We start from the raw sequence: 16,285 nt of genomic DNA on the forward strand, positions 1-16,285 counted from the left end.
AGATTCAGAATACCAAGGACACAAACCAGGAGTTTTTTTTTTTAAGTCCCTTTTATTTTCTCCTCAATATAATATTAAGTAATAAATAATTATGACTTTCACTGATCTTCCTTCCTTAACCTAAGCAGTAAAGATCTCCCTATCTTGCAAGAGGCAGGTGAAGGAGATTTGTCCACAGTCAGCCTCCATTGACCACAGTATGGTCAGTGTTTCCCTGGAGGTGAGGTGACCTGCCTTCTATTCCTTTTTCTTCCTTTCTTGTAGATAATAGTTTTCTTGAAATATAATTTACACACCATACAATTTACTTACTTAAAGTTCAAAATTCAGTGGTTTTTAGTATATCCACAGAGCCGTGCTAACAGCACCACAATTACAAACATCACCACAATTCATTTTAAACATTTTCATTACCCCAAAAAGAAATCCTGCAGCCATTTGCCGTCAGGGCCCATTTTCCCTCAGTCACCCGTATCCCTAGGGCAACCACTGATCTGCTTTCTGTCACCGTAGATTTGCATGTCCTGGACATTCCATATAAATAGAACCATATAATATGTAGTCTTTTGTGACTGGCTATATGGGTTTTTGCACTTAGGATAATGTTTCAAGGTTTGCCCATATTATAACATTTATCTCATTTCTTATTATGGCCAAATAATATTCCATTATAGGATAACACCACATTTTATTTATCCATTCATCAGTTGATGAATGGATAAATATGGATGATATTTAGGTTACTTTCACTTTAAACTCTTATTATCAATAATACTGAACATTTGTGTACAAGTTTTTGTGTAGACATACTGTTTTCATTTCTCTTGGGTACTGGCAGTGGAATTGCTGAGTCACATGGTAACTCTATACTTAACTTACTGAGGAACTGCCAGACTGCTTTCCAAAGCTGCTACATCATTTTACATTCCCACCAGCAGTGTGTGAGGGTTCCCTTCCTCCCTGTGCCCTCCATTCTTAATACTTATAATGATCAACAGTGATGACAACCCATTACAACTTCACATTTCTCAGTTGGGGCGCTGAAAGCTATGTGTCCTCTCTTTTTTAATGGAAATATTATAAATTGCTAGGCGTACAAAATTTCTCATGAGAAAGTATAAAGACTTTGTTGAGCACCTTTCATTTTTGCCCCTTCTCTGGCTTAACTAAGTAATCTCTTGAGAATGGTATGGTACCATGCTCTTTTAAGGACAGCCTATCAAGTTCATCTTTTTCCCAGGTGAAAGGAGGAATGTCATATGGCTAATGACTTCAGAGTCTCATCATGTCTAAGGGTCTCTGGCACATGTATATTATATAGGTCCTGCTATCAGAGAGATTCATATCTTTTTTATTATTTGGGTTTTTAAAGCAAATCCCAGACATCATGTCATTTTACCCATGAATACTTAATTACACATCTCTAAGTCATACGATCTTTTTTAAAAAAGCCAATGTGTTATTACCTCACATTAACAATAATTCCTTAGTGTCTTCCAATACACAATCCATATTCAGATAACCCCAATTATTAAAAATGCCTTTTTGAGCTCATATAGCCAAGACAATCCTAAGCAAAAAGAACAAAGCTGGAGGCATCATACTACCCAACTTCAAACTATACTTCAAGGCTACGGTAACCAAAACAGCTTGGTACTGGTACAAAAACAGACACATAGACCAATGGAACACAATAAAGAACTCAGAAATAAGACCACACACCTACAACCATCTGATCTTCTACAAACCTGACAAAACAAGCAATGGGGAATGATGCTGGGAGAACTGGCTAGCCATATGCAGAAAATTGAAACTGGACCCCTTCCTTACACATTATACAAAAATTAACTCAAGACGGATTAAAGACTTAAATGCAAAACCCAAAACTATAAAAATGCTAGAAGAAAATCTAGGCAATACCATTCAGGACATAGGCACAGGAAAAGATTTCGGGATGAAAATGCCAAAAGCAATTGCAACAAAAGCAAAAATTGACAAATGGGATCTAATTAAACTAAAGAATTTTTGCACAACAAAATAAACTATCATCAGAGTGAATAGATAAACTACAGAATGGGAGAAATTAGTTCAACCATTGTGGAAGACAGTGTGGCAATTCCTTAAAGATCTAGAAGCAGAAATACCATTTGACCCAGCAATCCCATTACTAGGTATATACTCAAAAAATATAAATCATTCTATTATAGAGATACATGCACTCATACGTTCACTGCAACACTGTTCACAAGAGCAAAGACATAGAATCAACCCAGATGCCAATCAATGATAGACTGGATAAAGAAAATGTGGTACATATACACCATGGAATACTATGCAGCCATAAAAAGGAATGAGATCATGTCCTCTGCAGGGACATGGTTGGAGCTGGAAGCCATTATCCTCAGAAAGCTGATACAGGAACAGAAAACCAAAAACCGTATGTTCTCATTTACAAGTGGGAGCTGAACCATGAGAACACATGGACACATGGTGAGAACAACACATACTGGGGCCTGGTGCGGGGAAGGAGAGCATCAGGAAGAATAGCTAATGGATGCTGGGCTTAATACCTAGGTGATGGGTTGATCTGTGCAGCAAGTCACCATGGCACACATTTACCTCTTTAACAAACCTGCACAACCTGCAGATGTACCCCAGAACTTAAAAGCTGATGGGAAAAATAAAAAGCCTTTTCATAGCACTTTGGATCTGGGTCCAAACAAGGTCCACACATTTGGGGTTTTTTTAAACTTATCTTTCATTCTAGATTAATTCTTTTCAATCATATTTAGACAAAGAAAACAATTACAAAATAATATGAGTATTTAGTAAGATATTCAATAGGATATGATCAAATGTGAGGCATCCAGATTTCTTTTCTTTTTTTCTTTTTTTTTTTTTTTTTTTGAGACGGAGTCTCGCTCTGTCGCCCAGGCTGGAGTGCAGTGGCACGATCTCGGCTCACTGCAAGCTCCGCCTCCCGGGTTCACGCCATTCTCCTGCCTCAGCCTCCCGAGTAGCTGGGACTACAGGCACCCGCCACAACGCCCGGCTAATTTTTTTTGTATTTTTAGTAGAGGCAGGGTTTCACCATGTTAGCCAGGATGGTCTCGACCTCCTAACCTCGTGATCCACCCGCCTCGTCCTCCCAAAGCGCTGGGATTACAGGCGTGAGCCACTGCGCCCGGCCATTCTTTTTTTTTCAGACAGAGTTTTGCTCTTGTCATCCAGGCTGGAGTGCAATGGCGTGATCTCGGCTCACTGCAACCTCCACCTCCCAGTTCAAGTGATTCTCCTTCCTCAACCTCCCGAGTAGATGGGATTACAGGCACCTGCCAGCAGGCCCAGCTAATTTTTGTATATTTGGTAGAGATTGGGTTTTGCCATGTTTGCCAGGCTAGTCTCAAACTCCTGACCTCAGGTGATCCACCCGCCTCAGCCTCCCAAAGTGCTGGGATTACAGGTGTGAGCCACTGCGCCCAGCTAGATTTCTAACAGACTCTTCATTGGCCCTATTGGTAGGTATATGATATGCTGTAATAATTAAGGAACCAGATCAACTAGATTTGAAGCCCCAGTCCTATCCTTATAGGCTGTGTAATCTTGTGCAAGTTACTTTAGTGTTTGTTCGTATTGAAGTTATACATGTGCATAGTTTACAGGGCTTGTTCCCAACAACAAAAAAAGCACTTCCTCATTATCACCACTAGTTGACTTCCTACCTCCAAGAGGCATTCATTTTTAACTCTTTTAGGTAACTTGTTTGGTTTTTTAACCTCTGAATCTCTAATAACAAGTGTATGTTGCCAGTTCTTGATTTTTCTGTTTTGAGTATTACCTACTGACTTTCTTCAATGGAAGATGAATATTTAATACTCTGTCACACTCACCACTCCTCTACCACAGCCATGCAATCTATCCTCCAATTCTTCTAATACGGTTAGAGCAATATTCAGTCTATATACTATGACCATAGAAACACTATTCATAGATACCATGATTACTGGTTTTTCATTGTATGTTTTGTTTTTCCTGAAGTCAGTAAAAGTCTTGCTTTTTGCTTTCCTTAGTTTTCTATGTATTTGTCACTAATTCAACCCTAAACTCTTCCCCAGTTGTATAAATCTTTCTCCATATGTTCAGACATGTTAGATTGTCTATCAGCTTCATTTTCTTGAAGAACTCTCTTTGGGAGCCTCTGACATGCTCTCTTTGGATGGTTTGCTCTCTGTGTAGCTGCACATCTGTGGTCTTGAAGTCCCTGTCACCATCCTCTTGTGGTATATCTCATTTCCTGGGCCCCATATTTTTTTACTTCTTCATTTAATGGAACACATCTTGTACTGATTTCCTGAGAAAGGATACATGAGAGGTAATTTTTTGAGAACATACCTGAAAATGTCTTTATTCTGATTTCACACTTAATTGATAGTCTTGCTGCGTATAGAATTCTAGGTTGGAAACCATTTTCCCTCAGTATTTTGAAGATACTGCCCCCATTGTATTCTAGGCTTTTGGTGTTCCTCTTGAGGAGTCTTAATGCTATTCTGATTTTTAATTATTTATATAAAACCTGTTTGTAGTTGTTCTCTCTGGAAATTTGAAATTTCATGATAATATACCTTGATGGAGGGCTGTTTTCATACTGTGCTGGACACTCAGAGGGCCCTTTTAAGCTCAAAAAAACTCAAAACCTTTAGTTCTGGGACAACTTTATTGAGTTATTCTTTTCAGCATTTTCTCCTTTTCATTTTTTCCTGTATTCTTTCTTTCTAGAACTCCCATATTCAGAAGGCATGTTTTCTGGACTTGTCCTTTAATCTTTTAAAAATATTTTAATCATTTTCCATCTCTATCTTTTTGTTCTATATTGTGAGAAATTTCCTTAACTTTTCCAATCCCTTTTCCAGGTCCTTTTTATTTCTGCTGTTATGTGTTTCATTTTCCAGGGTTACTTTTTTCTTTTTGTTCACCTCACCAAATATATTTTTTATGATATCCTCCACCTGTTTCACGAATAACATTTCTTCTCTCTGAGGAGTTTAATGATTTTTTTTTTCCTGAGTTTTCATCCCCCTGAGTCTCTTCAGTTTTTCCATGTTGCATTTAGGTTTCATTTGTTTTGGTCTCCTGTCGTTATAGCAAATACTTTCCTCTAATGCCTCAAACAATCTTGGCTGTCTGCTCATATTTAGAAACCGGGAATCTTGTTTTTAGTATCATCTTCATTCCCTCTTCTAGTGGTACCTGATGCTGCCAGTGATTGAGTCTTTGGGGAGTTCTGTGATGTATTTCACGTTCAGTTCAACTTTTCCCACTACCAGCACAGGATTCAGCTTTCTTGAGTTTGCTGACTTCCACTTGTCTACTTGGTTTCCAGTTTTGTGTCTCTTCTGTCTTTGTCCTGGGTGCTTCTGCTTTACAATGAACATGCAGTCGTTTCTGTCACTTGGGGAGATTTGAATGGGAGTAATCTAAATCAGGTCAGCAAACTGTGGTTCCTATGCCAGATCTAGCCCACAGCTTGTTTTTGTGTGACCTGACTTAAAAATGATTTTTATATTTTTAGGCCAGGCACAGTGGCTCATGCCTGTAATCCCGGCATTTTAGGAGACTTTGGGAGGCAGCGGATCATTTGAGTCCAGGAATTTGAAACCAGCCTGGGCAACATGGTGAAACCCCCACTCTACTAAAAACACAAAAAATTAGCCAGGCATGGTGGCACACACCTCTAATCCCAGCTACTTGGGAGGCTGAGGCATTAGAATCACTTGAACCCAGGAGGCAGAGGTTGCAGTGAGCTGACATCACGACACTGCACTCCAGCCTGGGTGGCAGAGCAAGACTGTCTCAAAAAAAAAAAAAAGATTTTTACATGTTTAAAGGGTTGCTAAGCAAAACAAAACAAAAAAACAGAAGGATATGTGACAGAGACTGTGGCCTACAACGCCTAAAATATTTACTGTCCACCTACAGAGAAAGTTTTTCAACCCCCAACTGAAATCTCCTATTTCAAACTGGAAGGCTAGTTCCTTCCCTCCCAATTTCCACATGCAATGATCACCTCCCATTTCATAGAGAAAATAAATCTATTGGGCAATCTACTTCTTACTCTCCCATCCCTATACCAAACCACTGCGGTTTGCCAGTTACCCATAATACTTCATTAAGTCAAACTGCAATGAATTTGAAAGGTCATTGAAAACCTCCTTGTTACTGAATTCAGCTCCCTATTTTTTCAGTCTGTATTTTACTGGCTGCTCTATGACATTTGATAACGTGTGGCTTCCATTCTCACGGAGTTAACTGAACCTGCTCTTTCTGAAATCGCCAGTAGCATCCTAATTGGCAAACCCAAAGAATGCTTTCCACACCTTATCTTCTCCTTTCTTTTGCTACATTTAACATTATTGCTTCCCATCTATTTCTGGAATATTTCTACTCCCTTGTATTCTGTGGTAGTATTTTCTCTTAGTCCTCACCATCCCACATCCGATCAGTTTCCCAATCCTGTCCATTCTCCCTTTGAATTTCATCCGGCCCCCAACAGCCTCACGTGAGACCCTCATTGTCTGTCACCTGGCTTACCACAAAGCTCTCCTGCTAGGTCTTAGCCTCCTTACGCTCTGTCTTACACACTGCCGCTAGAATGGTTTTCCTGAAGCAAAAATCTGTTGATATCATTAATTTTCTGAAAAATATATAGTGTCTTTCTCTACTCTGTCTACTTTTACTCAATAAAATCCAGACTCCTAACTTGGTATTCAAAACCCCATCTGGTCTGCTTTTCTGCCTTATTTTCACTGTTTCTCCCTCTCTATATTCCTCTCCACTTATCAGTCCCTCTTTTACTTCAGCCACACTGTCATCAACGGTGATGATGCTGATGATAAAAACACTAACAGCAGCATGTATTGAGGACTTAACTACATGCCAGGCACTGTGTTCAGTGCTTTATGTTAATTTGGACATCTAATCCTCATGACATGGCCTTATGAGGTGGGTTCTATTAATGGTCCACCAGTATGGCAAATATGAACTTGAAACATCTTTAAACATTTTTTTTTCAAAAGATCAGTGTCAAAATTCGTTTGGCAGTAAAATCTGACCTGAAATGGTATGAATGTATTTATAGTCCCTTTTAGCATAAAAATTCATTTCATAGAAGAAATATTAATATTTAATTACAGGATGCTGCCCCAAACCTCATAGGGGGATGTTAAATAATATATGGTTTGTGCAGTATGCTGCTTTCCTAAAATCTGAACACTTTGGGATTCTAATACTATCTAGTTTGAGGGGGCTCAGATAAATTTTGAACTTTGTGTTACTCTTTTTACAGATGAGGAAATTAAGGCTCAGCAAGATTTAAGTAGGTTGCCCAAAGTTACATAGTGGGAAAAACAGTGGAGCCCGGATTAGCACCATGGTGGCCTGGTTCAAACGCATGCCTTGTCTGCTGTGCTGCACAGGTCCATGCCACCTGCAGGTCCCTGCCCTCGACCTCTTCTGGGTTGCTGGCTTTCTGCCCTCCCTGTTCTCCCAGTGCTCAGCCCTGGCTGACTTCCCTTCCATTCCTATTCACCCAGGCTGGCTCCTTTCAGTAGCAGCCTCCATGCCTTTACCCCCTTGTCCTCCTGAAAATGTCCCACTGATACCAAGCTCTGACCAAGTCTGCCCATCTTGTCTCTGATTGGGCTGTCTTTCATTTGAGACTCGATAGAAAGGTGAATCACACTCATCTCCCAGTTTCAGACTGTGCCCTATTCAGTACTTGGCAATATTGCCTTTTCCATTTCCTTTATCAGCTTCCTTTCCTGTTTCTAGAGCAGCTGTACTAAAACTTTTCCCATCCCCTGAGCTCCAAACCTTATATACCATCTTACTCTCAGTTTCAGCAGCACATGCCTAGTTCCATATTCATTCCACCTGCTTGAGTCGTACACACAGGGGTTTGTAAGCAGTGCCACCCTTACACTGCCCCCACCCCCCGCAGTCTTAGAGGGCAGCAGCTGGTAGAATTCCAGCTACTCCCAGACTTCCTGATGTCCCTGTGAACGCTGTTGCCCTAGGGGATGTCCTGCCCCTGATCTGCACCCAGGTACCTTTTGTCTCCTGGCATGACATAGCAGTTTCTTCCTCAATTTCATGGTGACTCACTTTTTAAAAATAGTCTTTGATGTGTCAAAGCCTTTTTATGAAGGTCTAAATAGATTGTATGGACTGGTTCCCTTTCAGTCACATGCATTTTTACCTCCTGAAAGAAACCCTACTAAATTAGTTAGGTATGATTTTACCTTCCTGAAACCACACACCCCTCACTTTCCATGCTTCAGTGCCTTTCCATAGCTGTTCCCACACTACCAGTACAGCCTGTCCTATAAGGTCATCTCATACCAGCTTAAGTACTATCTCCTCCATATCTTCCCAGTTTCTCCCAGCCAAAAATTCTCCTTGCATCTAAACGACAGGCCAGGCGTGGTGGCTCGTGCCTGTAATCCCAGCACTTTGGGAGGCCGAGGTGGGTGGATCATTTGAGGTCAGGAGTTCGAGACCAGCCTGGCCAACATGGTGAAACCCCGTCTGTACTAAAAATACAAAAATTGGCCGAGTGTGGTGGCACATGCCTGTAGTCCCAGCTACTTGGGAGGCTAAGGCAGGAGAATCGCTTGAACCTGGGAGGCAGAGGTTGCAGTGAGCCGAGATCGCACCACTGTACTCCAGCCTGGGTGACAGAGCGAGACTCTGTCTCAAAATAAATAAATAAGTAAGTAAAAATAAACTCCCATAGCAACTTCTCTAGAGACTTGTAATATCGTTATTTGAATCTCTCTATTATCTCTCTGATGGTTCAAAAGCTCTTTGATGTCAGATACCATGTCTGATCTTTTCATACAGTCTCTCGAGCTTAGTAAGAACTCTGTATATGTTTGGTAAGTTAAATTAATGAAAGTTAAGGAGAAACTTCTTGACATAAGTATACTGCATCAACAGCTTCCATTCACAGTTGAGTCTTTGCCATCAAATTGTTGTACAGAAATTGTTTCCACTGAAGTTACAGATGCTCCCCAGTGAATAATTCTGTGCTATCTTTTCAGCCATCAGCTTCTTCTGCCTCTTTGCCACATTGGGATACTCCTTGTGATCAATTCTCACCTCCTTTGGCTTTCTCTGTCCTGCTACTCCTGTCTCTGATTATTTCACTGTTTTCTTGTCCATATTATCACATCCTCCTAAATTAATGATGATGTTTTTTCTCCTCAGACTTTTCTTTTCTCTGTTTGTCCGCAGGAATCTCATTTACTCAGGTTTTGTTTGGGATTGGGGTTGGGAGGGAAGAAATTGAGGGACTAAGACTGGGGGGGTTAGATCCCTCCAGGATCTAAACAGTTGAGAGACTAAAAAACAAGAAACAGGTGGCGACGTGAACATTGAGGTATCAGTTCTGTTAACAGACTGCTAAACCTCCCAAGTTAAGGGCTCTTTCATAAAGCTAGATTGGAGAAGAAAGTTGAGAGCTGTGGTCCAAGTGGAGCCTCTGCTTCTGAGCTTCAGACCCTGTGGAGGAGACATGTGTTGCTCAGATCCAGCCTGGTGGCAGGTTCACCTCACACAGCCATCCAGAAGGTAGAGGCCTGGATGGTGCTGGAAGGTGAGGTGAGGCCGCTCAGACTGCAGACAGCTTCAATGTAGCAAGAGACATGAAGAGTATTAACTATAGGCAAGGCCTTCTGGGAACTGAAGAAAAACCAAACCTCAAGGCCTCATGGAAAGATGATCCATGGGATAGCTGGTTTTCACAGAGACTGGAACAGGGAGAACATTTTGAATCTAAAGTTGTCTTGCTGCCCTCAACAGCAGGGTTGTGACTCTTGGCTCTGATGCTCTGCCACTAATGTGGGCGCTAGGGCCCAGCATCTAGCGCAGCCTACAGCATCCAAGTCTCTACACTTCTTTGTCTGCTTGTGTCTCCTACCAATCCCCCAACTGTCTGTACTTCCCAATTTAAATTCCCAAAAGAGAGACCCTATCTGCCTCTAGGTGGATGAGGAGTCTATGGATTACCTTCCCTTGAGCCCATGGGCCAGTTGTCAGTGGCCAGAGGGGAGGAAGGGTCATGTGGTTAGGATGCAGCCTACTTTCCATCAAGCAACAGTCAGCATCCATTTGCCCAAGCCCAAGCTAGATATCATTCTCTTCCCTTCCTGTCTCACTCATGTCCCATCAGTCACTACATCCTGAAGTTTTCCCTTTTAAGCATTTTTTTTTGGCATTTCTCCTTTTTTCTCTATTCCCATTGCCATCGACCCGGTTCAGGCCACCATCAGTTCTCACCCAGAGGGTTGCATGAGTCTCCTCCTTATTGATCTCCCTGTCTTCAGTCTCTCTCCCCTAATCTACCTTTTACTCAGTTGCCAGAATAATCAATTTAGTTCCCACATAATGGCCCAAGTTTATATTTAAAAATATAAATCCGACTCTGTTACTCCCGGGGTTTTAAGCAGGGCTTCTCATTGCTAATGAAATAGAACACAGACATCTTTCTGCGGCCTGTACACCCTCCTGCAGATGCGGCTCCTGTCTTCCTCTCTGACCTCGTTTTCCCACCTCCTGCTTTCTGTGCTCTGTGCGCCAGCAACACTGACCTTCTGACTTCTTCTTTAGATGTAGCAGGGCTGCTGCGCTTGCTTTTCCTTCCGCCTGGAACTCTTTCTCTTGATCTTTTCTTAGCTTGCTTCTGTCTCCAGGTCTCAGCCTGGGTGCCACCTCCTCAGAGAAGCCTTCCTGAAACACCCTGTCTAACACTGCCTGTACCTCTACCCTTGGTCTCCGTTACATGCTTTAATATTCTTCGTACTGCTTATCACTGTTCAGTATTTTGTTCATTTCATTTGTTTGGTTGTTTTGTATCTCCCTGACTAAAACAAAAATTCCTTGAGAATAAGAACATTTTTGTTCTTACTCACCACTGTATTTTCAAGCCTAGTGTGTCGTAGTTTCTCAGTAAACATCTGTTAAACTGATAAACAGTGAAATCTCCCTTGTTACTGTTTTTCCCACGGCTGTGTCTTGTGTTTAGCTTTATATGTATTTTTATTTTACCTGTTAGGTTGTGAGCTACTTGAGGGAACAATTTTCTTTTAGTTCATTTTTACGTCTCTCAGGCTTACACATGGTAATTGGCTGAAGATAAGTATACCCCAAAAGGTAGCTCATTTGCTGCATAATTTGTGCTCTGGAAACTTGTCCAATGGCAGAAAGACTGAGCCCTATTCTTCTTCATACTCCCTTTAGATTCCTTTTATTCCACTTCGGAAACCAGACACAGGAAACATCTGACTATAATAAAAGATTGCCAGTAAATTCTAGGTTTCCTCATTGAACAAAGTCATGTGCAGCAAGGCTGTGCTGTACTTTGGTCTGGAATTCAGTTTGGTCACTTGTATGGCAGGCCACATGGCTGCCTCTGGCCTGGGAGCCAGGAACAGCTGGAGCCTGGGATGACTGAAGTAAAAATGACATATTTGCTAGCCTGAGAGGGAGAAGTCTGGATATTCTTGCTCTGTTCCTTGCAAAGCAAACTTCTCAATTTGTTGAATACTAAGTTTTCCCGTTAGCTGTCAAAGTGGTTTATAACTAAAATAATCTTACGTCCTTTAGAATAAATCACAAATAATGAATGGCCAAACTGTTTCTGAAGTCAAAGCAAAATTCATCAAAACAAAATTCATCAAACCTTTAATGCTCACAGCAGATTTCATTTAAAAACTTACACAAAACATGAATATGTCACCAACTTCCTCTGAAAATTTCTGCCCTCTCACTTGCCTCTTCTGAAGTTTAAAAATGTGTGATCGTAAGAGCATTCCGCTACCATTGGAAATAATATTTGCAAAGACTTTGACTCTTTCCAGTAGACTGTCACCTGTTTGATGCTTACCCTTATCACTTTATTTTTATCTTAAGTGCTTATGAAGTGGTCTGTCTTCCTTGGCTTGAAGGCGAAGGCTATCTCTAATTTGGCTCCATGGGGCCTGGCGTGTAATAGCCACTTGATAATATTTGTGAGAAGGAGGGAGAAGTAAAGAAGGGCGAGGAAAGCCCAGTCCATTTAGACTGATATTGTTGGGGTATATTTAAGTATCATGAACTATAAGGATGACCTCAGTAATTAAAGAGAAAAGCTCAACAGCGTTTCAGCATGTACAGTGAATAATGAAGGCATTCAAGAACCTGCCATCCTTTGGCATTGGTACCAGTGAGTTGGAGGTTAAAATCCTAGAGCGGGATTCAGAAGTTCTGTTTTGAACTTTTTGTCCCCTCAAACAATGCAAGTAATACATGTTTACTGTACAAATTTTACAAAAATGCAGAGAATAAGCATTACTATAATTCTGCCACCCAGAGACAACCATGTTTTTAGTCTCTTTTAGTCTTAATTAGTTTTAGTCTTTTAGTTAACTTTTAGCCTTTTTTCTGTACATGTCATTTGAAAAGTTTAAAAGAGACTTTATATCAGGACTGCTTGTGAGTACAAAGAAGATAAATTGCAATTGGAAAAATACTTGTCAACTGCAATAAAAATTTGAAGTGCTTGTTTTTATTGTTGCTCATCCGGGCAGTCAGCTCCTCAGAATTCCATTCCCAATCTTCTTCAGGGGAATGTGATCTCTCGCCTGGAAAACTCTTAGGATGCTTTTCTTATTCCTCCTCTGCGGAGACTCTTTGTGTGAGCACTCATTTTCCTAGGGTGAGGCCAGGTTTGGACCCCTGAACCTTCACAGGACAAGCACACTTCAGGACTGATTGGAACTGATGGGAGTCAATACCCAGAATGGATTTTACCTCCAACTTGTAAAATATCACTCAGATAACATCACCTTTGAAAGAAAGCAAGAATATTTACTAGCTTATTTCTTAGTTGAATAAACATATTGACCACTTTGTATGTATCAGTCATTAGTTAGGCATCAGAGCCTCAAAATGAATAGACAGTCTTTGTCTTCAGGGAACTTTCAGTTTAATGAAAGAAGAAGAAAAGCAAACAAGGATTATAGTGCAGTATAATGAATGCCATAATAGAAGCACAGTGATGGCCTAAAGAAGTAAGTGAGCAGAATTGATCAGAGAGGTCTTCAAGAAGAAGGGGTCAATTGAGTTGGTCTTAATGGAAGAGTGGGAGGTTTTTTTTTTTTTTAATGCAAACCTGCAGAGAAGACAATGTGTTCAACGTCTGAAGACATGAAGGCATGCATCTCTTGGGAAATATAAGTAATTTTGCATATCTGGAACTCAAGGTGGTAAATGAGGCAAATGGTAAAGACATTGAATGTCAGAGCTTGAACTTTATCTTACAGGCCACAGGAAGCCTCTGAAGGGTTTTATTAAAGAACAGAGACACAATCTGTTATGCTTTTTGGAGAAATCAGTAGAAAGGATGGATGGAAATGGGCTATGTTGGAGGCAGAGGTGTGTTTTGGGGGCAATAAGAGCAGTCCCAGCAAAAGATGATAGGCACATGTCCAGAAAAGCAAATCTATAGACAGAAAGTAACTTGGTGGTTCCTGGGGTTGGAGGTTGGGGCAGGGAATGACTGAATGGACATGAGGGATCTTTCTGGAGTGATGAGAATGTTCTAAATTGGATTGTGATGATGGTTATGGAGCTCTGTTAATTTTCTAAAAATCATTGAATTGCACACTTATATGAGTGAATTTCATGGTACGTGAATTATACCTCAATAAAGCTGTTTTTAAAAGCAGGGGTTGGAGGAGTCAGTCTTCTCAATGAGAGGAGATAAATGTGAGAAATGCTGATAAAGAAGTAGAATTGGCCAGGCATGATGGCTCGTGCCTGTAATCCCAACATTTTGGGAGGTCAAAGCAGGAGGATCACTTGAGGCCAGGAATTTGAAAGCAGCCTGGGCAATATGGCAAGATGCTCATCTCTAAAAAAAATTGAAAAGTTAGCCAGGCAGGCTGGCACATGCACCTGTAGTCCTAGCTGTTGAGGAGGCTGATGTGAGTGGATCACTTGAGCCCAGGAATTAGAGGCTGCAGTGAGCCACAATTGCACCACTGCACTCCAGCCCAGGGGACAGGGCAAGACTCTGGCTCTATTAAAAAAAAAAAAAGTAGAATTTATAAGAGTTAGACATTGATTGTATGAGATAGGGTGGTCACCTATCTGTTCAGCCAAGTGTCCTGATTGTGATTCTACATTTTGTAAAAAAGTGGCAACCCTACCTTTTTCTTGGCAGATTTCAAAGCATATGGATCTATCTTTAACTGGCAGTACAGAGTACCTGCCTCAGAAACCACATCCTCCAGCTCTCTGCCACCCAGTTCTTAGCAAACACATGGTTGTGAGAAAAAAATATCGATGAAAGAGTGTCTGAAGATTTGTGATTCATTCATTTTTCTGTACATTGTTATTCAGCAAATATTGAGTGCCAGGTGTAGCAGTGAATAAAGCAGATTTGGTGTCTGCCTTTATGAAACTTACAACCTAGCAGTGGGAACAGATGTTATGTACAGTTATGATAACTATTGTGTTGAATGTCCATGTGCAATGAGAGAAAATGCCCATAATGTTTGGGTGGGGTGTGGCTCTAGACTCTGGTGCCATTTGCATCCGGCTGACACTCCTTTGGAGTAAGTCTGTGGAATCTGATCCCTTTTGAGTCTGGGGTTTCTTGGGTTATCTTGGGCCTTACATCATCTTGGTGCCCCTTATAATTGCTTTTATTGAACTCTATGTTTAATTTATGCCATCATTTGGCATTGGCTTATGTTGTAGGAAACAGCCATACAAGATTTACAGCTGCTTAGTATAGAAATGTAGAATATACAATCTTCAACATCATATGGCGTCTCCTTTTTTTTTTTTTTTTTGACATGGAGTCTTGCTCTGTCACCAGGCTGGAGTCCAGTGGCATGATGTCGGCTCACTGCAACCTCCGCCTCCCAGGTTCAAGTGCTTCTCCTGCCTCAGCCTCCCAAGTAGCCAGGACTACAGGCACGCGTACCACGCCCAGCTAATTTTTTTTTTTTGTATTTTTAGTAGAGACTGTGTTTCACCATGTTGACCAGGATGGTCTCGATCTCTTGACCTCGTGATCCACCCACCTCAGCCTCCCAAAGTGCTGGGATTACAGGCATGAGCCACTGCACCCGGCCGGCATCTCTTTTTCTAAGGCCCACAAGAGAAAGTTCTCTCTGATCACTGTACAGTATTTGCTTTTATGTTTTGGTATTTCAGTTGCTCTGGAGCACCAGACTCCATTTTGCCTCAGGTCTTCACACATGGCCTTCCCTCTGCTTTGAATGTCCTATTCCATTCTTGTTGGGTTTGACCCTCACTTATCCTTCAGCTATGAGTTCAAGCGTCACTTCTTCAGAGATGTCTTCCCTATCCAGTACCCACTCCCCTTCTGTACTCAGTCCAGTTCCTAATATAAACTTTAATAACACTTTCTTTTTTTCTCTTTTATCAGTTTCTAGTTAAATAGTTTGTTCTTTGGTAACATTTTTTTCTCCTAGACTGATAGCAGAAAGATCAATAAGGATAGAGACCATGCTTTTTCTGTTTGCTGCTGTATCTCAGTCATAGTATAGTATCTTGCACATAGCAGTTGCCCAGTGCATATTTATTGGACATTTGATTGAATGAATGAATGAATGAATGAATGAATGCCTTGTGGGTACTGAATCTTGTAACCATTCATTTCCTTTTTTCTTTGGCTGTTTGAAGGCTCAGGCCCTGATTCTGCCTGCGGTGTTTGCGTAGGTACTCATGGCATGCATTTTGTGCACTAACATTTCCCCAACTATATAGTCTTTTTCCTTTCTTTGACATCTTCATTTTAAAATTCTAGTGTACATTGTAAATTTCAATAGGCCACTATAAGCCTTTTTTGGGGAAGAAACAATGAACAATTGAGTATATAAGTAGAAGAAAGGGCAAGATCAAAGGGGAAATGTTAGTGCCTTTAACTAGATTCAGGAAGGAACTTTTATTTTGCTTTGTTTTAATTCCATTTTCACTAGAAGAAAGAAAAAGAAGTAAATTTGTCCCCTAATCTGGCAAGAAATGCCTCTAAAGAATTTGGGGCCTGTCCCTGCCTTGAGACGTCTCTCCCTCTGGCAGGAGGCAAGGGGTACTGGGCTGGGCAGGGTCTCCTGGCTCAGTGGATGGGTGGGCATGGGCCTGGGAGGCTGGGCTGTTCGACTGAGTTCCCTTCCAGTTGACTCTGCTTTGAGGGAGGGTTTGGGCAGAGCCAGTG

General features: G+C 41.2%; 1 protein-coding gene across 57 annotated transcripts in view, besides 1 other annotated feature; it reads left to right on the top strand.

The window, feature by feature from the left end:
- ST3GAL3 (ST3 beta-galactoside alpha-2,3-sialyltransferase 3) overlaps positions 1-16,285 on the top strand; it is a 223,624-nt gene that overhangs the window by 68,221 nt on the left and 139,118 nt on the right. The gene's annotated exons all lie outside the window — the stretch shown is intronic.
- Positions 9,554-9,603: a silencer, noted in NCBI's record as "silent region_791". NCBI's record gives its function as "represses an Ori minimal core promoter by ATAC-STARR-seq in GM12878 lymphoblastoid cells {active_cell/tissue: GM12878}" and the evidence as "EXISTENCE:reporter gene assay evidence [ECO:0000049][PMID:35858748]".

The sequence above is a fragment of the Homo sapiens genome, chromosome 1 (genome assembly GCF_000001405.40).
Source record: "Homo sapiens chromosome 1, GRCh38.p14 Primary Assembly".
In the NCBI taxonomy this organism is placed as follows: Eukaryota; Metazoa; Chordata; class Mammalia; order Primates; family Hominidae; genus Homo; species Homo sapiens.